The sequence below is a fragment of the Homo sapiens genome, chromosome 2 (genome assembly GCF_000001405.40).
Source record: "Homo sapiens chromosome 2, GRCh38.p14 Primary Assembly".
Classification (NCBI taxonomy): Eukaryota; Metazoa; Chordata; class Mammalia; order Primates; family Hominidae; genus Homo; species Homo sapiens.
The window spans coordinates 71,644,676-71,667,660 of NC_000002.12; the positions used below are offsets into that span (position 1 = coordinate 71,644,676).

Here is a 22,985-nt window from a genome sequence, read left to right on the forward strand (position 1 = left end):
AAATTATACAAATATAATTATGCTTTGAAAAAGTAGACTACTTTTAAAGAAGATAATCAGAGGTGACTCAGAAATTACTCCTTAAAGGAGTTGCATGGTCTCCTGGCTAGGGTTGCCAGTTAAAATTCAGGATGCCCAGTCACATTTGAATTTCAGATGAACAATGAATAGTTTTTTAATATCAGCATGCATCAAATATTGCACGGGGCATATTTCTTTAAAAATTATTGGTTATGAAACAGGAAAAGTTCCCTTATCCCCCTTGCAGGGTGTGCAGTGGGGGTGTGGCTGGCTTCTTCAGTGCCCTGCTGCTCACACCTCTAGGGGAACATGCAGATGGGCAGGTTGTGGGGCTCCAACCCCACAGCAGTGTCCAGAGGTGAATGTTTACAGCTGAAGCCCCAGTGGATGTGTGTTACAGAGGACTATTTCAGCTTAGCCATCTGTAGGCGGCTTGTGTTAGCTCAATTAGACCCCTGCCTTATCACAAGCACAGAGGGCTTTCTGTATCCCGGGGTTTCTTGCCTTGGTGTACTGAAAGAATTGGATCGCACGTGGGCTTGGAGATTGAGTGCAAGGTTTTACTGGGTGGAAGTAGCTCTCAGCAGATTGGGGAGCCAGAAGGGAGATGGAATGGGAAGGTGGTTTTCCCCTGGAGTCGCGCTGCTCAGTGGCCTGGACTCTCCTCCCACCACCAGGACCAAACTCCACGTTGTTCCGCTGGTCAATGGCCTGCTGGCCTGCTGAGGCCTGTTGGTGTGCTCCTACGCCAGTGGGTCCTTCTCGACATCCCGCCGCTTGTGTGTTCCTCTGCTTGTGTGTTCCTCTCGATGTCCAGCAACTTGTGTTTCTGCCCGCTAGGGTCTTGGGGGTTTTTATAGGCACAGAATGGGGGTGTGGCAGGCCAGGATGGTCTTGGGAAATGCAGCATTTGGGCAAGAAAACAGAAATGCCTGTCCTCCCTAGGCCTGTGGCACAGGCCCGGGGGATGAAGCCCTCGCCAGGGACACCGTCCTCCTCTACCCAGCACTTACCTGACCCCGTTCTGTATCAGTTATTTATTTGAAATTCAGATTTAACTGGAAATTGTGTATTTTCACTTACTAAATCTGGCAACACTACTTCTGGATTATAAATGGGGGAGACTCTGTACCCCGCAATTACCTCCCAGGCTTGGAGAGGAGAAAATGAGAGGTGGGCACAGGCTGTTAGACACATAGGAAAGGCCCCAAGAGCCCTTTGGAGGGGACTGGATGAGAGAGAGTTGAAGCTTGTCAGGGTAGCAGGTGGCCTGGGCTTTCAGGTGATTCTTTTGGCGCAGAGTCTCTGCTAGGCACTCTGGAGGGCAGTTTCACCAGTCAGCAAAAGTTGTCTCTGCTCTATGGGCCTGCCTGGTGAATTGTGCCTGGAGACCTGGCTGCTCAGAGATGAGGCACAGGCAGCAGCAGCTGCGATCCTCAGGCAGCAAGTTCCTCCTCGACTTGGTAGTTGGGTGTGTGAGGTTGGGCAAAGAGACAGAACTATTTGTGTACCAGGAAGAAGGTCTGACACATTAGGTCTGGCATGTGGTCCTGTGGCCTTGCCAAAAAGTCAGACAACCCAAGCAAGAATGAGGACTCCTGCCAGGGTGGCCCATGGCCCTGGCCCCTCGCTGCTCCCTCAGGTGCGGATGCTGAATTGGCACCCAGCCCTCCTGCTTGACCTCTGGAGGAGGTCTCTGACAGCATCCAAGTGAAAATAGGCTGTCCAAAGCAAAATGCATTCAAACTATTTCTGGGGGGAAAACTAGACCTGGAAGGAACGCTGGTTCTTTAAAGATAAGTAAATGGAAGAAAACCACCATCACCAACGTGGGTCTTTGAAAAATAGCCTGCCACATTATGGAGAGAGTGGAGCACACAGTGGGTGCAGGAAAACAGATTTTAGAAATCACTAGCATAGGGGGACAAAACAACTCCTAATCTAAATAGAAAAATAAAGGAACAAAAGACACAACAAGAAAGCATTAAAAACAGAAACCACAGAAAATGCATAGTAAAAAAAGAACAAAACATCTTAATGTTCCTAATTAATAAAAATGGACTAAACTTCCCCATTAAGTGACAAGGACTCTTAGACTATATCAAAAGTCAAAATTCATTGTACTGTCTTTAAAAGACACATCTAAAACAATACAACTTAGAATGGCTAAAAAATAAAGATTTTGGAAAACAATATTTTAGCAAACAAGGTAAGTGTAAACCAAAGGAAAACAGAATTTAAAGTGAAGAGCAAAGGAAACAAAATAGAGAGTTTTATATAAATAAAAGATGTATATTTCAATGAAAAGACTCTCAAATATTTATGCATAGAATAGTAAAGCTTAGAAATACTTAAAGCAAAAATGGATAAGAATGTATAAACTGATATCTCACACTTGATAAAAGCACAAAATGACAGAAATTAAAGTTGCAGTGGGGATTTCATTACACCATTCTCCTTAACTATCAAGCAGACAACAAATACATAAGAAGATAAAAGATCTGAATAACAAGGTAAATGTTTTTTAAGCTACATGAAATTAAAGTTATAGCTTTAAAATAGAGAATAAAAATAATAAAAAATGGAGAATACATTTTTTCCTGATGCTCAGCGAATACTTACAAAATTTGATCACATATTAGTTTTGTAGTAAGTTACCAAAAGCAGAAATCATACAAGACAGATTATAATGCAATAAAATGAGAAATTAATAACAAAAGTTTAAACAAAAAGTTCAACCGCTTAGAAATTTAAAAAATATTTTATTGGGACTTCCAGTATGAACATGGCTGCATAAGTCAGCATTTTTCCCCTTTTCTCTTGGAAATCATTCAAACCCACAAAATCCATTTTCAGAAAAGTTGGAAACAAACAGAAGCCACAGACTTCAAAATATATGTAAGGGCTGCTCAAAGACAACTGAAATTGGTTAGAGGCCACTCAGCAGTAAGTGAAGAGAAGATACATGCAGAATGTTGAAAGATCAGAGTAGTAGCAGATCTCAGAAAGCCTAGCAAAAATATACTTTCTAATGGAAGAATGTTGATAATTATTTAGGACAGATAATGGTTACATGGGGGTTTATTATCTATTCTCTTTACTTTTGTGTGTGTTTGAAAATTTTCATAATAGTTTCAAAATACAGTTCCTGAAAGTGAGGTTTCACCATGAAATATAAATGTTACATCCTTTGTTTACAACCGTGGATACGGAAACTTTGGAGACAGGTTGAAGCTGATGACAGAAGCCTCTTAGACCTGATTTGATTCAGAGAAGCAGAGGTGGAGCTACACAAGAATTACACAAATGAGCCATATTTGCAGGAAGCAGTCTGCCTCTGTGGTGGGAACAAAATTCAGCTCATTTAGTGAGAAATAATTTTTTAAAACGGTGTAGCCTGAATTCAAAAATCCTGCAAAAAAGAAAAGAAAATCAAAATGAAAACTTATCAGTAGAAGAGGACATATACCTACTTGAAAAATTTTGCCAAGGAGCAGATGAGATGAAATGCTTTGCTATGAACTTTTTAGAAATGGGGCAGTCAGAATGCAAAGCAAAAATGAAAGTAGTCAAGGGCTGATAAAATGAGTGATAAACTATGGGCTGGCAGGACTCAGGAAAGAAAGAGATGAAAACGTGAAGTTGGAAGGAGCACAGGGCAGAAGGGCCACATGGAAAACACAACCAAGGGCACAGAGGACAGAAACTATAAAAGTAAGCAAACGAAAATGGAAATAATGAAAAAGTTATAAAGGAACAAAGAGAAAATGACAGATATAGACGTCAGGGAAAGGAAACCTAACATTTGCATAATTGGAGTCTCCAAGGAAGACAACCAAAATAGTAAAAAAAATTACAGAAAAAACCATAATGGTTTAATAAAACCTTACGGAAATGAAAGAATAGTTGAACATACATATTGAAAAAGTTCATGGTGTGTCAGGAAAAACTGACAAAGATTGGTCAATCTGAGACATATTCTAATATAATTACTGTACTTTAGAGATAAAGAAATAATTCTTTGGGTAGTCATACCTCCTCCCCACCTCTTGAAAAGAAAAAAGCAATATTAAGTCATTTAAAATAGGAACTAAATCAAGATGGCTTCCATTTTTTCGTAACAGCATTCCATATCCAAAGACAATAACACACTGATATAAGATCATCAAAGAAAGACAGGGTGACCTGAGGATTATATGTTCAGCCAAGCTCCCCTCCAAGCATAAAGGCTACAGATAACCATTTGTACATATTCAGGAACTGGAGTAATGTGATTCCAATGAGCCTGTCTTGAAGGAACTCCTAGGGGATTAACTTCAGCTAACCTGGGAAGTTATCTGGAGAAACCACAACAGAAGGACTGGTTGTAGTTCGAGGCTGTAGTCAGCTATGATTGCACCACTGCACTCTAGCCTGGATAATAGAGCAAGACTTTGTCTCCAAAAAAAAAAAAAAAAAAAAAGTGAATATGGTCATATTTTACCTTAGACTCAAAATGAAAACAAATGGAAGGGTTAAGGTAATAGGTAAGAATGTAAATATCATATATACTGAAAATGTAGAGATGGTAAAACTGACAAAAATTAGGTGGAGAAGGACAAAAGAGTATGGAATATAGAGTAAGGACAATGATTGACATATGATAAAATAAATACAGTGGACAGATATTATTTGAAATTGGCAAGTCACATAATAAGCATAGAAGCAAGATACAAGCAAACAGTACAAAGGTAAATGTTAAGGAAGATATTCTTGTCTAAAACTGGGTGATAGGGAGAAGGAGGGAGATAAAATTGGATTATTTTATTATTGCTACAGTAGGGACCCCATAAATACTATGCCTAAAGACATAGAGGACTAAGTATTATCAGAATATATAAATGTATATAAATACTAGAACAGAAGCTGAGATCATTCCAGCTATCAGAACTGTCACATGCACCACTCCCATCCGCCCCACACACAGAAAGTGGACCGTGCAAAGATTAAAAAAAAAGAACCTATGAAATGAGGAAATGTGATATAAATACATTACATGACTATATAATTAAACAAGTAAAACCAAGACCAAACATATCTGTCTTGTCAATACATGTTACATCAGTCACTTACTAATTACAAAATTTAAATCAGATCTCAGAGCAAAATCTAACTCTCAAATGAAAAGATTGATAAAGTTTGAAAATAAGATTAAGAAAATGTGTGCCAGGCAAATGCAAATTAAATGACAGCAGAAGTCATCATCTTAATATTAGATGAGAGGGTATTCAGGTTCCTAAAATTAAATGAGACAAAGGATGACACTTTATAATGCTAAATGGTACAATTCCAAGATATGACACTTATGAGAATATCTATGTGCTAAATACTACAACATCAATACTTACAAAACACAACTTACAGGAGATATGAGAAGCAATGGAAACACACTGGTTGGTAGGGGGAGATTTAATTCCCTTCTCTCAGTTCATGTCAGATCAAGGAGACAAAAATGTCAGAGGAGGCCAAGTGTGGTGGCTCAAGCCTGTAATCTCAGCACTTTGGGAGGCCGAAGCAGGCAGATCACTTGAAGTCAGGAGTTCAAGACCAGCCTGGTCAATACAGCGAAACTCTGTCTCTACAAAAAATACAAAAATTAGTCAGGCGTGGTGGCGTGCACCTGAAATTCTAGCTACTCAGGAGGCTGAGACAGGAGAATCGCTTGAACCTGGGAGGTGGACATTGCAGTGAGCCAAGATGGTGCCACTGCACTCCAGCCTGGGTGACAGAGCAAGATTCCATCTCAAAAATAAATAAATAAATAAAATAAAAAATAAAAGGTCAGAGGATGTAGAAGGCTTGGCATGATTAGTAACCTGATTTAACCCAGTAGCCTGAAAATAAAGACTACACGTGTGGCACTTTTACTACAATTGACCATGTAACAGGCCATGAAGAAAACTTTAATAAATTTCAGAAAGTGACAATACCAAGAAAACATTTTCTGATTGTAATGCAATAAAATTAGAAATTTGTAACAAGATCAAAAGCCCAAAAGGCCTCTTCTACCTGGAAAATTAAAAAACCCTCTATTTTAACAATTCTTGGGTGAAGGAGAAAATACTAACAGAAAGCACAGAACATCTAGGAAACAGTGCTAAAACACTACATATTAGAACTTACTGGTTATAGTTAAAGCAGCGTTCAGAGGGAATTTGTGGCCTTAAGAAATTATGTTAATTACAAAAAAGAAAACTAATTAAGTATCTAACTCTGGGATCAAATAATAAAGATAAAACTGTAATTACAGAATGCCGGGAAAATGAAAATGAAAACATGTATCAAAACAAATGAGGCAATGCCAAGACATTAGTGAGCAGAGGCAATTTCATATGAGTAACTATTTTCATTATCTGGAAAAAGGGAGTAAGTAAAGCTTCAATTCAAGAAGCTAGAATAATGATAATGAAAAGCCCTTAAAACAGCAGGACAAAAAAAGAGAAAAGGAAAAGGAAAAGCAGAAAAAATTAGAAAAGAGAAAATTATAGAATTGAATTGAAAAAAATCAAATAATTGGCACTTTGATTGGAATGAATCAACTAAAATAGATAACTCTTCAGCTAGTCTACTTTAGAGAAGTAGAGAAAACCAAGCCAAAATCCGCAATGAAAACAGGGACATAACAGCAGAGATAATTGGGAGTTAGGAATTTTAGAAAAATTCTAAGTATATTTCTATGTTAATAGATTTGAAAATGTCCTTAAAATGAGATAATGTGAAGGAAAAGAGAAACAGAACTGTCTCAAGAAGCAGCAAAAAATATGAAAGAAACAGGAAAATTATCAAAGAATTACTTTCAAAGAGAGAGCTGGAGCCAGGGAATTATAAAGTGAATTTCCTAAATTTTCAAAGAATAAATAATTCCTGTGCTATATGTAGTATTTCACAGCAGAGAAAATATTAAAATGTAGAAAACCTCGATTTTTATAGAGCTAGAATTACCTTACCATCAAAATCTGATAAAGTTCAGCCATATGTATAAATATCATCTATGACATGAATATATATGAAAAATCTTAGAGAAATAATAGCAAATGAAACCTAACTAATATTAAAATAATGTCATGATAACCGAATTTGCTTCATTCCAGGAATATAAAAAGTTCAACATTAGGAAATCATGAACAGTATTCATCATATCAGTAGGTAACATTAACAAAGATTATTTCAGTTGGTGCTGAAAAGCATTCAATAAAGTTTAATATCTATTGATGATTTATAAGATCAAGTAACATATTGGAAATAGGAGTTTCCTTAATGTTAAAAAGAACATCTCTCAAGCTAACAGCCAACATCCAACTTCATGACTTCAGAAGGTTTCTTTACTGTAGAAAATGAACTTGTATTTCTCAAGAATGTTCCTAAGTGCATTTGTCTGGGGAGAGAGTCCATGGCTTATTGACTGTAGATTACTGAAGCACTCTGTGACTCAATATAGGTTAAGGTACTGAGTGAAACACTAGGGCAGTCCTTTCACAAAGACAAGACAAGACTCACTGTGATCACGTTCATGTTATCACTAACATTGGTCCATATCTTCTAACCATTTCAATGTCAACAAAAAGAAACGGGTCGTTCATTTTAGAAAGGAGAAGACAAAATTATCCCTGTGTCTGACTGACTTGCTTACCACCTGAAGAGAACCAACTGAAAAATTAGTAGAACCATCAGGAGAACCCAGTAAGATGGCAGCAACTATTTAGAAAATCTAGTGGAAGAAAGATTCACATTCATAGTACCAACAAAAGAAGCTTCATGAGGAATAAACTCAACAATAAACACATAGGCTCTGTATGAAGATGCCTATAAATAGTAAAAGTCTTGTGTAAGTTAAGAATCAGATCATGTTCCTGTATTAAAATGTTAATACTATAAAGATAACAATTCCCCTGTTGAAAATTAGTTTTAAGTTTAATGCAAGCCTAACAAAAATTCCAAAGAAACATTTTGTTGAGAATGGAACTTAATGTTTTAAAATTTCATCTGGAAGAACATCAGGTAACGAAACAGGTTATGAAGCCACAGTGATTAAAACATGGTATTGGTGAAAAAACGCACAGATCAATAGAGCAGAGAAGAGATCACAAACAAACAAAAGGAGGCGTGAGCATTTGGCATATGACACAAGTCATGGGAAAGGGAGAAGAAGTTTAAACAAATATGATGTTTAGATAATTGCCTAACCATTTAGCAAAAAATAAATTAAATTCTTGCCTCACGCTGGGTACCAAATTGAATTGAGTGTTGAATAATCTTGCTATGAAGACATTGTAAGTATAATTTGAGAGGCAGACACTATAAAGAAAAAGATCTTTAGATGAGATGATCTAGAAATTTCTGGTATGGCTAAAATGCAAATCAAAATCACAATGAGATACCATCTCACACCAGTTAGAATGGCGATCATTAAAAAGTCAGGAAACAACAGGTGCTGGAGAGAATGTGGAGAAATAGGAACACTTTTACACTGTTGGTGGGACTGTAAACTAGATCAACCATTGTGGAAGTCAGTGTGGTGATTCCTCAGGGATCTAGAACTAGAAATACCATTTGACCCAGCCATCTCATTACTGGGTATATACCCAAAGGATTATAAAACATGCTGCTATAAAGACACATGCACACGTATGTTTATTGCGGCACTATTCACAATAGCAAAGACTTGGAACCAACCCAAATGTCCAACAATGATAGACTGGATTAAGAAAATGTGGCACATATACACCATGGAATACTATGCAGCCATAAAGAATGATGAGTTCATGTCCTTTGTAGGCACATGGATGAAGCTGGAAACCATCATTCTCAGCAAACTATCGCAAGGACAAAAAACCAAACACCGCATGTTCTCACTCATAGGTGGGAATTGAACAATGAGATCACATGGACACAGGAAGGGGAACATCACACTCTGGGGCCTGTTGTGGGGTGGGGGGAGGGGGGAGGGATAGCATTAGGAGATACACCTAATGTTAAATGAAGAGTTAATGGGTGCAGCACACCAACATGGCACATGTATACATATGTAACAGACCTGCACATTGTGCACATGTACCCTAAAACTTAAAGTATAATAAAAAAATAAAATTAAAAAATAATAATAATAAAAAAAATTTCTGATATGGCTAAAAATTGTAAATATAAACATAAGATAATCAAACGTAACCATAAATATAACATAAACACAAACATAAACATACCATAAATAAAAATATCATAAATATAACATAAACATAACTGAAAGGCAAGTGACAGACTGGGACAAACATTTGATAGACCAAAGTTTAATATCCTTTATATACCAAGAAGTCTCTCAAATCACCACAGAACAGAAAACAAACACCAACAGATGGAAAATGTACAAATGACAAGGATGAGCAGAAGAAATACAAATGGCTGATAAACCCGTGCAAGTTTCTCTATTATTATTATCTCTATTAAATAAATGCAATTTAAAATTCAGCATACCATCTTCTATCTATCAAATTAACAAAGCTAAAAATGGGTGAAAGTGTACAGTGATGGTGAAAGGCTGGGAGTGTGGGCACACTTGAACACTGTAGATAGGAGTATATAAATCCATACAATTTTTCCAGAGAGCAATTTGTGCACATCAGAGGTCTTAAAATGTGCATACTCCTTGTCCAGGAATTCTTTTTCTGGGAGCTTATAATAAAGATGAATTTAAACAAGTGCACAAAACACTTGGATAGGAGATTTTAAAACTCCCACACCGTATAAGTGGTTTAAAAAAATAATGTTGATGGCTGGGTCTGGTGGCTCATGCCAGTAATCCCTGCACTTTGGGAGGCGGAGGTGGGAGGATTGCTTGAGGCCAGGAGTTGGAGACCAGCCTAGGCAACATAGCGAGACTCCATCTCTACAGAAAATAAAAATAATAATATTGAAAAACCGCAAAACTAAATGTTCATCATATCTTGTGATACATTTATAAAATTGAATATCATATTGCCATTAGGAAGGAAGAGTTTTATAGAAGTATATTTTTTGACCTTGCAAAGATTTTCATGGTACATCATTAGGTTAAAAAACAAGTTACAGGCCAGGCACAGTGGCTCACACCTGTAATCCCAGCACTTTGGGAGGATGAAGTGGGAGGATTGCTTGAGTCCAGGAGTTTGAGACCAACCTGGGCAACATGGCCAGAACTCATCTCTACAAAAATAAAATAAAATAAAAAATATAAAAATTAGCTCAGTGTGGTGGCACGCCTGTACTCCCAGCTACAGGAGGCTAAGGTGGGGGGATCATTTGAGCCCAGGAGTTCAAGGCTGCAGTGAGCCATGATTGCACCACTGCACTCCACCCTGGGTGACAGAGTGAGACTTCTCCCCTCACTTGCACCCCCCATCCACAAAACAAGTTACAAGTTTGTATCTTTTGAGTCCATAATTTTGGTTAAAAAATTATATATATAAAGAAAATATTCAAAAGGACATATACCAAATGCTGATCAAATAACTAGTTATTTTTGAGAATTAGAATTTAAGACAATATTAATTTTTAAAAATATTTGCTTATATTTTTCTAAATTTTAATAATGAACCTGTGTCACTTGCATAATTAAATATTTATTAGAAAAGATAGAACTTGACCTTCAAGGAAGAGACAGAATTTGAGCTGGGCCTAAATGAGAAATAATATTTGGAAAGATGATTTCAGATATGACGAATTTAGCATGTATGTTAACCTGTTTAATGTTACTGTTTATTAGGTACATTTTATCAGCATAATAAAAAACAGCTTGCTGCTTTATTAAATCCTAAGCAATTCTAAAGCACTGCTTTAACAAATAATAATCATTGGCTGTTTGAGAAGAGACAAGTAAATGAATTGAGCTAACAAGTTTAAAGTGATGCTCCAAAGATACACTTGGATTGATATTTGATACCATTGTCATTGGATATCCTGTATGTGAACATTTTTACTTGAAATGCTGACCTGTTAATTTTCCAGACATCTATCACAGTCTTCAAATAAAATGTCGGTCCACCCTTTGCTCATTCATAATCTTGTTCTTTTAAAAAATGTACTGCCCATGTCTCTGATGACTCTCAGGTACTTACAATATTTTATTGACCAGAAAACCCTATTCCCTAACGGAGCTGAACAAATATCTTTCCTTTTGCTCCCTTCCCCTGGAATTTTCTGTCCATCTCCTCCTCTGTTCCTTTCTGGCTCCCTCTGTGACCTCTCCATCTCTCCAACCCTGCCCTCTTCTTTGCCTTCATTCCTTTATTTTGTTTTTGGTCACTTTCCCTCCTTTTCTTCTTCTCTCTTCCTTCTCTCTCTTTATTCACTCTCACACTGTCATGTTTCCCCTCCTTCTCTTGTTTCCTTTCCTTTGCTGTTGTTCTACTTTCTTTCTGTCTCTTGTCCCCTCCTCTAATCCCCATGTGTGGCAGGTCTATGACACACAGCTGGAGAATGTGGAGGCCTTTGAGGGCCTGTCTGACTTTTGTAACACCTTCAAGCTGTACCGGGGCAAGACGCAGGAGGAGACAGAAGATCCATCTGTGATTGGTGAATTTAAGGTAAATCCTCGAAGACGTCCCTAACCCAGGTGGGCCTAAGACTGTGGTGTTGGAGCAATAAGTGAAGGGGAGGGGTCGTACCTACACTGGTGACCCTGGTGCTGATGTTGGTGACCACATGGGTAATGGAGGTGGTGATGGTGATGCCGCTGACGCAGAATCTGACTGGTGATGGGATGGTGTTGGGCTTGGTGATCTCAGTGGTGGTGACTCTGGTAGAGATGAGAGTGGTGGTCATGATGGTGATTGTGTCAGTGACAATTGTATTTGTTTTTAGTCTGTTTTCATGCTGCTGATAAAGACACATTCAAGACTGGGAAGAAAAAGAGGTTTAATTGAACTTAGAGTTCCACATGGCTGGCAAGGCCTCAGAATCATGGCGGGAGGGGAAAGGCAGTTCTTATATGGTGGCAGCAAGAGAAAATGAGGAAGAAGCAAAAGCAGAATCCCCTGATAAACCCATCAGATCTTGTGAGACTTATTCACCACCACGAGAATAGCACGAGAAAGACTGGCCCCCATGATTCAGTTACCTCCTCCTGGGTCCCTCCCCCAACACGTGGGAATTCTGGGAGATACAATTGGAGTTGAGATTTGAGTGGGAATGCAGCCAAACCATATCATTCTGCCCCTGGCCCCTCCAAATCTCATGTTCTCACATTTCAAAACCAATTATGCCTTCCTTAGAGTCCCCCAAAGTTAACTCATTTCAGCATTAACCCAAAAGTCCACAGTCCAAAGTCTCATCTGAGACAAGGCATAGTCCCTTCCACCTATGAGCCTGTAATATCAAAAGTAAGGTAGTTACTTCCTAGATACAATGGGGGTGCAGGTATTGGGTAAATACAGCCATTCCAAATGGGAGAAATTGGCCAAAACCAAAAGGTTACAGGGCTCATGCAAGTCTGAAATCCAGTGGGACAGTCATATTTTAAAGCTCCAAAATGATCTCCTTTGACTCCAGGTCTCACATCTAGGTCATGCTGACGCAAAAGGTAGGTTCCCATGGTCTTGGGCAGCTCTGCCTCTGTGGCTTTGCAGGGTACAGGCTCCCTCCTGGCTGCTTTCACAGGCTGGCGTTGAGTGTCTGAGGCTTTTCCAGGTTCACGGTACAAGCTGTTGGTGGATTTACCATTCTAGGGTCTGGAGGAAGGTGGCCCTCTTCTCACAGCTCTACTAGCAGTGCCCCAGATGTGGGGCATCAGAGCCCCCACATTTCCCTTCTGCATTGCCCTAGCAGAGGTTCTCCATAAGGGCCCCACCCCTGCAGCAAACTTTTGCCTGGGCATCCAGGTGTTTCCATACCTCTTCTGAAATCTGGGTGGAGGTTCCCAAACCTCAGTTCTTGACTTCCGTGCACCCACAGGCTCAATACCACGTGGAAGCTGCCAAGGCTTGGGGATTCCACCCTGTGAAGCCACAGCCCAAGCTGTACATTGGCCCCTTTCAGCCACGGTTGGAGCAGCTGGGACACAGAGCACCAAGTCCCTGGGCTGCACATAGCACAGGGACCCTGGGCCCGGCCCACAAAACCACTTTTTCCTCCTGGGCTTCTGGGCCTGTGATGGGAGGGGCTGCTGTGAAGATCTCTGATATGGCCTGGAGACATTTTCCCCATGGTCTTGGGGATTAACATTAGGCTCCTTGCTACTTATGCAAATTTCTGCAGCTGGCTTGAATTTCTTCTCAAAAAATGGGTTTTTCTTTTCTTCTGCATCATCAGGCTGCACATTTTCTGAACTTTTATGCTCTGTTTCCCTTTTAAAACAGAATGCTTTTAACAGCACCCAAGTCAACTTTTGAATGCTTTGCTGCTTAGAAATTTCTTCTGCCAGATACCCTAAATCGTCTCTCTCCAGTTCAAAGCTCCACAGATTTCTAGGGCAGAGGCAAGATGCCACCAGTCTCTTTGCTAAAACATAACAAGAGTCACCTTTGCTCCAGTTCCCAACAAGTTCCCCATCTCTATCTGAGACCACCTCAGCCTGGATTTTATTGTCCATATTGCTATCAGCATTTTGGGCAAAGCCATTAAACAAGTCTTTAGGAAGTTCCATAGTTTTCCACGTTTTCCCATCTTATTCTGAGCCCTCCAAACTGTTCCAACCTCTGCCTGTTAGCCAGTTCCAAAGTCGCTTCCACATTTTTGGGTATCTTTTCATCAACACCCCACTCCTGGTACCAATTTACTGTATTATTCTGTTTTCACACTGCTGATGAAGACATACCCAAGACTTGGAAGAAAAAGAGGTTTAATTGAACTTACAGTTCCACATGGCTGGCAAGGCCTCAGAATCATGGCAGGAGGTGAAAGGCAGTTCTTACATGGTAGTGGCAAGAGAAAAGGAGGAGGAAGCAAAAGCAGAAACACCTGATAAACCCAACAGATCTCATGATACTTATTTACTATCACGAGAATAGCATGGGAAAGACTGGCCCCCATGATTCAATTATCTCCTCCTGGGTCCCTCCCACAACATGTGGGAATTCTGGGAGATACAATTCAAGTTGAGATTTGGGTGGGGACACAGCCAAACCATATCAACAATGATGATAAAAATGAAAATTAACCCTTCCTTCTTTTCAGGGCCTCTTCAAAATTTATCCCCTCCCAGAAGACCCAGCCATCCCCATGCCCCCAAGACAGTTCCACCAGCTGGCCGCCCAGGGACCCCAGGAGTGCTTGGTCCGTATCTACATTGTCCGAGCATTTGGCCTGCAGCCCAAGGACCCCAATGGAAAGGTAACTTTCCTAGAGCCCTCACCTCCCCCAGAGTAGCAGGCTCAGGTACAAGTGGCCTATAGAACCTGGACACAAACTCTGCCTCAGGGAGTTCATAGTAGGTTGGGAAACAGACAAACACACAAAACTGAGAGGTGCCTGGATGGAGTTGTGTTAAGGACCAAGTGCTCTAGAAGGTCAGGGAAGGCCAGTGTCAGTACAGGACTTTGGGAAAATGGGGAAGGCTTCCTGGAAGGAATAGGACTCTTAGGATAGATGAGATTTTGATAGGCTGGGAGGGAGAAGAAAATAGTGTTTTAAGAGGGGCCAAAAGCATAGGCAAAGGTTTGAAAGAAAATTGCTTAATGTGTGTCTAGAACAAGAATAAAGCAGAAAGATAAGTAAGGCTGAGGGTATAGGTTGGGACTCTCAATGGTTAATGGGGAGGAGTGATGGGGGAAAGGAGCAGCGTTAGTGACTGCTATGCCTAGTCATGGCAGAGTCCCAGGTAAAAGGGAATGCTGGTAACACTCACCCGGTCTTTATTTAAAATTTTGATATTTTGTTCATCATGGACTATTGACACTGATTTTAATTTTTAAAATATTTCATTAAAGTACTGTTTATCTTAATAACTATTTTGGCCCTTCCTTACATTTTGTGCCCAAGATAAGTGCGTGAGCTGTCTCCCTCTAGTCATTGCCTGAGATGGAGAGGGGAGATTTGAAGGAGGAAAGGAGTCTGGAGTTATGGGGAGGTGACAGAGGTGGGAGGCAGAGTAATGTTGGGAAGAGAAAGAAAGAGGAAAGAAGAGAGGCAGGGGTGGGGCCTGATTTGCCTTTACAGGCATGAGGCTAGGGTCCCCTCTTGTCTCCTGAGGCAGGTTTAGGCCCAGCATGTGTCCTTCAGGTGGTGGGCGGAGGCCTGGTATCCCACCCTGTAGCCTCACCTTTCAAGGGACAGAATGGAGCAGTTCTCAGCCTAGGCACCACTGACGGCCTCCAAGGTGTGGTCATGGCCAGTGGGTTGGTTTATATGCTTGAAGCCTTCCTGATGCTAGACTAACCCTGGGCACTCTGCAGCCCCAGCTGCTGGGTCGCTGGCTGAGGGGTGCTGCTGCTTCCAGGAAGCATGGAGGGAGACCTCCCTGGGCTAGCCTAGGCTGACATAGGCTGACCACCCCTCTCTCATTCCATATGCTTAAGCAGAGGTCACAGAGAGGACCCCAGCCTGGTCTCGTCATGTGTGTAATGCAGACTGTTGTGTTTCTGATAAGGGCCTGGCCTCTCCCAATGGAGCAGTAGATTGGGAGTGTGAAGGACTCAGGTGCCCCATTCCCACGGCTGGAGCCAAGACCAGAAGCCCATGTCAGGGTCCAAGTGGAGTGGTGTGGTGTGTGGGAGGGGGCCCTGTCTTGGCAGGACACAGCCCACATCTCAACTTCCTGATGGCTGCTCCCTCATCCCATCCAGAGGCAAGGCACTCATGAAGCCTCAAAGACAGGTTTGGAAAGTGTTTTCACAGAAGTGTTTTGTCTCCTCCTCCAGTGTGATCCTTACATCAAGATCTCCATAGGGAAGAAATCAGTGAGTGACCAGGATAACTACATCCCCTGCACGCTGGAGCCCGTATTTGGAAAGTAAATTGGGGCATCTTGGGTCTTGGGGTGGAGGAGCCAGACAGGATAACCCACAGTCTAGTGGGGGAGATGTGACTGGCACTGTGAAGTCCGTATCTCTTGGAGCAAAACTGTATTCCTTAAATCTTGCATGTCTATGGGGGCATAGCCTCAGTTAGCCCTTCTTTAGCTGCTAAAGACTTGATCCCAACAGAAGCTCCTAGTTAAATGCTAAACAATTACGTCTAAGATCAGAAATCTACATGGCTTGAGCTCAGGAGTTTGAGACCAGTCTGGGCAACATAGCAAGACCCCATCTCTACAAAAAATAAAAAACTTAGCCAGGCATGGTAGTGCATGCCTGTGGTTCCAGATACTTGGGAGGCTGAGGTGGGAGGATCCCTTGAGCCTAGGAGTTTGAGCTTACAGTGATCTGTGATCAAACTACTGCACTCCAGCCTGGGTGACAGAGCAAAACCCTGTCTCAAAAAAAAAAAAAAAAAAAAAGAAAGAAAAAGTAGAAATCTGTGTGTAAGCTCAGAAGATGCATTTGCTAATTCTTTTTTTTTTTTAAGATAAACTTTTACTTTGGAATAATTTTAGATTTACTAAACAGTTACAGAGACAGTGCATAATTTCCACTTACTCAATTTCCCCCACTGGTAACCCCTTACTCAATTTCCCCCACTGGTATCATCTTACCTAACCATGGGACATTTGTCAAAATGAAGAAATCATCATTGGTGCATTACGTTTAACCAAACTAGACTTTTTTTTAAAGGATTTCATGTTTTCCCACTAATGTCCTCTTACTAATGTCTCAGGATCCAATCTGTTATACGACATTGCATTTAGTAATTAATTCTCTGTAAGTGTCCCACATGTGTTTGTAGCAAGAGCTAGAGGAAGAATGTAGACCCAAGATAGTAAAATGATTCCTGAAATCTGAGAACAAGGAAAGGAAGAATCAATGCCCATTGCATGGGAGTAATTCCTAGGCATCCTGAATTGCTGTTTGGATGTGAGCTTGTTTAGGCCAGAGAGGGGAGGATGCAGAGGGAGGGTGGCAGCTATTTCTCTCGCACCTGCAGAAGACACCTACTGTTCCGATGTCATCAAGTCACATATTGCACTTATAAACCGGGGTCTGTTGAGTTAGTTGTGGTCACTCACCCTGCAGTGAGGACCCAGTCTCCTTGGGGAAATGCAGCTTTTGAAGGTGAACCAGCCCTGGCCAGTGATGAGCTCCCACCAAGCAGGGATTGGAGGGAAGTGGTAGGTGGGAGAGAGGAACTCTGTATGAGTTCCAGGGGCTGGCGAGCTCCAGGGGCTGGCGCAGGACCTCAGGCTAATGCTGATGGGGCAGTGGGCAGGGCCTGTTCCACAGTGGGTGGGCGTGTGTCAGGACTCAGGGGAGATAGGGGAGCCAGTGCAGGAACACACCCCTCCCATGCCTGTTTCCCCATCTCCCCCCAATCCTGGGCAAGCTGGTCTGCCTGGTGCTTTAAGCCTCCTTCAGATCACAACAGAAACCCTTCCATTCTATAACCCATGTGTCAGACGAACACAACGCATGAGGTGGTTTTTGTCACCATGTATTCCATGGCGTTACCTTCTCCTTTCCCCTGAGGAAACTGACAGGCAGGTGACTTTTCTGCTCACATTGAGCTCAGCCACTTTAACTCACGAACCCAGTCTCAGGCCATAACCCACTGCCCATTTGTATGGAATCCCGAGCTCCCTGATGGCTCTAGGGGAGTGTGTCCCCTCTTTGGATGCAGTTGTGTGTGTATATGTGTGTATGTATGTGTGTGTATGTGTGTATATGTGCACATATGTGCGTGCGTGTGTATGTATTTGTGTGTATGTGTGTGTATATGTGTATGTGTGTCTGTGTTCGTGTGTCTGTGTGGTGTGTGTATATATGTGTGCATGTGTATTTGTGTGTATACATGTGTGTAGGTGTATGCGTCTGTGTGTGTCTGTGTGTCTGTGTGGCATGTGTGTATTTTGTGTGTATGTGTCTCTGTGTCCATGTGTCCGTGTATGTGTGTGGTGTGTGTATATGTATGTGTGTTGTATGTATGTGTGTGTATGTGTATTTGTATATGTGTGCGTGTATGTGCATGTGTATTTGTATGTGTGTGTGTATGTGTGTTTGTGTCTGTGTGTCTGTGTGTGGTGTGTGTATATGTGCATTTGTGTATATGTGTGTGTATGTGTGTGTGTCTGTGTCCATGTATGTGTGTGTGTGTACGTGAGTACATTTGTGTGCCTGTGTGTGTATATGTGTGCACGTATGTGCATGTGTGTGTGTGTGCATATTTGTGTGTGTATGTCTGTGTCCATGTGTCTGCATATGTGTGTGGTGTGTGTATATTTGTGTATGTTTACGTGTGTGTGTGTGTGTGCGCGCACGCGCGTGGTGTAGGGAAGGAAGGGCCCTGCCTTCCTCCCTTCCTGGTCCAGTGTTTCTCCCTTCCTGCTCTGGCTGACCTCTGAGGTTCTGACTCCTGCAGTGTCTGGGCTGGGGAGAGGGCCCGTCTCATGTGCCCACCACCGCTGTCATCCGGGTACTCTCTGGACCACGGATGTTGAAAGCCGACTTATTTTCCTGTGGGTGCTTTCCAGAGGTTCCTCAGAGAGCCCCCCGTGAGCCCTCCCACTGCACTTTCTGGGATATGGCAGATGCTGCGTCCCTTTAGCTGCTGTCCCCAGCCCCTGGTTCTCAGATGGTCAACTCCACAATCTCTCGCTGCTACAACCCTCTGGGGGTCTCACAGGGCAGGATTCAGAGCAGTTCCAGTCTGGCCTCAGAGTGGTTTCTTCTCCTCCCAGGAAGTCCTTGTGTTCCTTGCCCAGGCATGGGCCAGAGTGCAGCTCCTCCCAAATGTGGCCCCTGCCCTCCTTCTCCATGCCACAAGTTGCTTAAGTTTCCCTGAGCATGCACCAGGTGCCAGGCTTGTGTCTCTCACCTGCAGGGAGCTCATTTTAGGGGGAGAAGGGAGAATACCTCTCCCTTTGATGCACATGGTAGATGGAGTTCTCAGATACAGCAAGAGCTCTCGCCAGAGAAATCTTTTCACAAATTCTCCCTCCATCCCATCCCAGAAGTGGATGTGAAGAGTCCAGAAAGCAGGTCCCAGGCCTGGAGTTTCCAGTCATCGGTAAATTCCAAAGCTCTGGCCCCTTGCTCTGGAGTACCAGTCGTCGGTAAATTGGAGTCCCCCAATTTACCGGGAGTCCTCCCTGGACTGGAGGTACCAGTCGTCGGTAAATTCCAAAGCTCTGGCCCCTGGCTCTGGAGTTTCACATCTCTTGCATCTGTTGTCTCCTGGTGTCGTGGTCAAAGCTTCAGTTTTAATGTGCATTTCCAATTCATTCTTTCGGTCTGTGGTCCATCAGGCAGGCACTTGCCTTATGCCCAGCACAGTTTATTTGGGAAAGTCCTGTCCCCCTTCCCCCTACACACACACTCAGGCCCAGTACAGCAGTGCTGTGGGTGGTTGGGCCTGTAAGATCTGTAGGGGGCCCAAGGAAAGAAGACTCCCTGGGGTAGTTTCGAGCTCTTGTCCTGCCCTGCCTGTCCCTTGGGTGCCCCGTGTTGGCTGACATCGGGAATCTGCCCCTCCTGCAGGATGTTCGAGCTGACCTGCACTCTGCCTCTGGAGAAGGACCTAAAGATCACTCTCTATGACTATGACCTCCTCTCCAAGGACGAAAAGATCGGTGAGACGGTCGTCGACCTGGAGAACAGGCTGCTGTCCAAGTTTGGGGCTCGCTGTGGACTCCCACAGACCTACTGTGTGTACGTGGATGGGGGCTGGCTGCCTGCTTCTCTGACAACACACCACCCCTGTCTTCTCTGACAACACACCACCACTGAGCACTTACTGTGTGCCAGCCCTGGGCTTAGCACTTCCTAGGCATTCTCTCATTGAGTCCAATGGGAGTCCTATCCCCACTCCACAGATGAAGAAACTGAAGCCCAGAGATGTTATTGCTTGTAAGTGGTGGAATTAGGATTTGAACCAAGAACCTGGCTCATCACATTGTTATAATCCAGTTATCTGTAATGCACATAGAAGGCCTAGAGAGGGCTAGGTACCTGGAAAGGGAGAGAGGGAAGGAAGGCAGGAAAGAAGCAGGGGAAACAGATGAGAGGACATGTGTGCTGCAACTGGGCCCGAAGGGGAATTTTGTGATGGTTTATGTCAGGGGAATGCATGTGAGGACTGCACCCCTCTTCCCACCATCTCAAGTCTTCTCTGGGTCTGATTATCTAACTCTGGAAATTGAAAACATTTAAGTTGCAATTCCGTACTTAAATGAGTCCTTTTCTCTCTGAGCCTCCATTTCTCCATCTGTAAAATGGGGATGCCCAGTCATGGTGAGCAATCAGATGGGACACCCACTGTAAAAGCAAGGAGTGGGCAATGCTGTACATGGGGGTACACCAGTCCCTGCATGCCCCTCTACCCTCATGAGTGTCCTTGAAGCATCTCATCTATGTCTTGTGCTTGCTCCTCAGCTCTGGACCGAACCAGTGGCGGGACCAGCTCCGCCCCTCCCAGCTCCTCCACCTCTTCTGCCAGCAGCATAGAGTCAAGGCACCTGTGTACCGGACAGACCGTGTAATGTTTCAGGATAAAGAATATTCCATTGAAGAGATAGGTGAGCTGCCACATGACCCCAAACCATGGTGGGCTCTCGCTGTATCCCTCCCTCTCTCATCAGACCCTCTGCTACCATAAAAGACCCAAGCGGACATAACCCACAGCAGCAGGCTGTGGGTCTCTCCAGGGCAGCACAGATGGGCTCCACTTGCACTTGGTACTTTGAGGATCAGTACTGACCTGTGATGCCACTGTGAAAATTAGAGGTCAGGGCACAGCCAGGGTCAGAGTGCAGTCCAAGGCCAGGTTGGGGCCCATCCGAGGGCAAGATCAGAGGTGAGTCTGAAGCCAGTGTCAGGGTCAGAGTTAGGCTCAGTCTCTTTCTGGCATTGGCTGGTCTGACTCTGGTTGGAGTTTGGGGTACAGTCCACTTCTCAGAAACAGTTTTCTACTTGAATTGCACCAGCCTGGCAGCTTGACCCTGATGGTATCTTCCAAGCTCCCCACTGACAGCCCATGCATCTAAAGGATCCCAAGGCAGGCAGGCCTTGTAGTGCCCCCAGTCCTGCCCAGGGTCCTGCCCAGCTCTCCTGGCTGAGAATCCCGCCACATGCTCTCCGTGTGTCTGAGATGCCCGCAGGCCTGCATCACCCACTCAGAGCAGCTCAGACTCCCCAGAGGTGTTTACAGGCCCAGCTGGCCCCTTGCCTCCTGGTTGCTTCAGAGATGTTTGATGTCAGAGCTGGTGCCAAGGTTATAAAAGGGAAATGATGGCTTTGATGCCCCCATCCCCCACCCCCTCCTCCTTCTCATTCTGTTTTCCTGACTCTCCCAGGTCATGGCTGAGCCAGGCTCGGCCATAAGGCGCCCCCAGCCCTGCCCCCCTTCATTCCCTTTTCCCATAGAATGAGCATCTGTTTTCGGGGGAGTCTCATTTCCTTCTACTAGTCTGTGAGCAACTTTAGCACAGGGCCATGGCTCATGGTCATAAAGTCATAGGAAACAAAAGCCAGAAAGCTAGAGATGGTGAGGTCCAACATCTGCCTGCTTTTACAGATGAGGCTGGTAAGACCAAGAGTGGTGAACGACCTGCCCAACGTCACCCAACCAGCTAGGGGCAGAGCCAGGTTCCTGGCCCTGTGTGCCTTCTGAGGTGCATGCCTCTTCCTTTGAGGCCCCTACTGAAATGGGCAGGGCAGGTCTGATGGGTGAACACATGTGTGTGTACATATAGGTGTGCATGAGCACACCTGGGTACATGTACAGATGTGTGTGTCCACCATCAGCTCCCAAAGCCAAGGCCTTTGACATAGTGGGCTCCAAGTTCATGTTGTTGGATGGTTGGCCAGGCTTCTCTGGGTCAGGAATACCCCATGTCTTCTCCCCACCTGTAGCACCAGTTTTTGACCCATTCCCTAGCAGGGAGGAGCTGTACCTGGGACGCACCTGGGGACAGGCACCTAGGTTCATGCCTAGTCACGCACCTTTCCTAAGTGAGCATGTGATCTCAGCTGCTCTGCTGCTAGTTGTGTGGCTTCTCTGTGCCTCAGATTTCTCTTCTATAAAATGGGGATAATAACAGCACTCAGCTTCTAGGATCCTCATGAAGACTAAATATGTTAATAGCTTGAAGAACAGTGTGTGGCACGTGGTTCCTGCTCTGGAAGTGTTTGCTGTTATTGCTATTATTTTAGCTACTGCTAATAGTAGAACAACTTAAGTGAACGAGAGCATAATACTAACAGCACTAAGATGCCAAATCTAGGAGTAAAGGTTGCTGAGGCTTAGAGTTGGGAGCAGTCAGGGAGAGCTTCCTGGAAGAAGTAGGCTTTGGAGACAGGAGGATTTGTATGGTGGAAAATAGGAATAAAAACTATAGAACAGGCTTGGTAGAAATGATGGCAATGGGGAATCTGGATTTTAAGCCTGGAGCTAGTGGACAGCAAGATTTCCCCTATCAAAAGTGAGACATGAGGACCAGAAAAAGTGCATCTGTGCTGGGGGTGAGGCTGCGGGGGTTAGAGCTTCTTATGACTCTTAGGCAGCCCTGCTCAGCCTGTTCACTGGGCAGCCCCATTATCTCTCGCTTCCCCAGCTCCTGCAACTTTTTTGTCTTCTCTCTGGGGCAGAGGCTGGCAGGATCCCAAACCCACACCTGGGCCCAGTGGAGGAGCGTCTGGCTCTGCATGTGCTTCAGCAGCAGGGCCTGGTCCCGGAGCACGTGGAGTCACGGCCCCTCTACAGCCCCCTGCAGCCAGACATCGAGCAGGTAGGACCTTGACCCTTGGGTCCCAGAGTCCTCGAACTCCAGAAAGCCCCAACCCCAGGGACAACATGGATATCCCAGAGGAGCCAGTGGGTCCCTTGAGATTTGGTCAATCCTTCCTTGACCCATTTCTTCACAGTCTGAGTGC

General features: G+C 43.6%; 1 protein-coding gene across 14 annotated transcripts in view; it reads left to right on the forward strand.

Moving 5' to 3' along the window:
* The window catches only part of DYSF (dysferlin), a 233,203-nt gene that overhangs the window by 191,115 nt on the left and 19,103 nt on the right, over positions 1-22,985 (forward strand). For all 14 annotated transcript variants that reach the window (NM_001130979.2, NM_001130981.2, NM_001130980.2 and 11 more), the window contains 6 exons: positions 11,487-11,615; positions 14,203-14,358; positions 15,885-15,976; positions 19,593-19,763; positions 20,487-20,629; positions 22,701-22,840. In NM_001130979.2, coding sequence (NP_001124451.1) covers positions 11,487-11,615; positions 14,203-14,358; positions 15,885-15,976; positions 19,593-19,763; positions 20,487-20,629; positions 22,701-22,840 — 831 coding nt within the window. The remainder of the gene's footprint in view (positions 1-11,486; positions 11,616-14,202; positions 14,359-15,884; positions 15,977-19,592; positions 19,764-20,486; positions 20,630-22,700; positions 22,841-22,985) is intronic.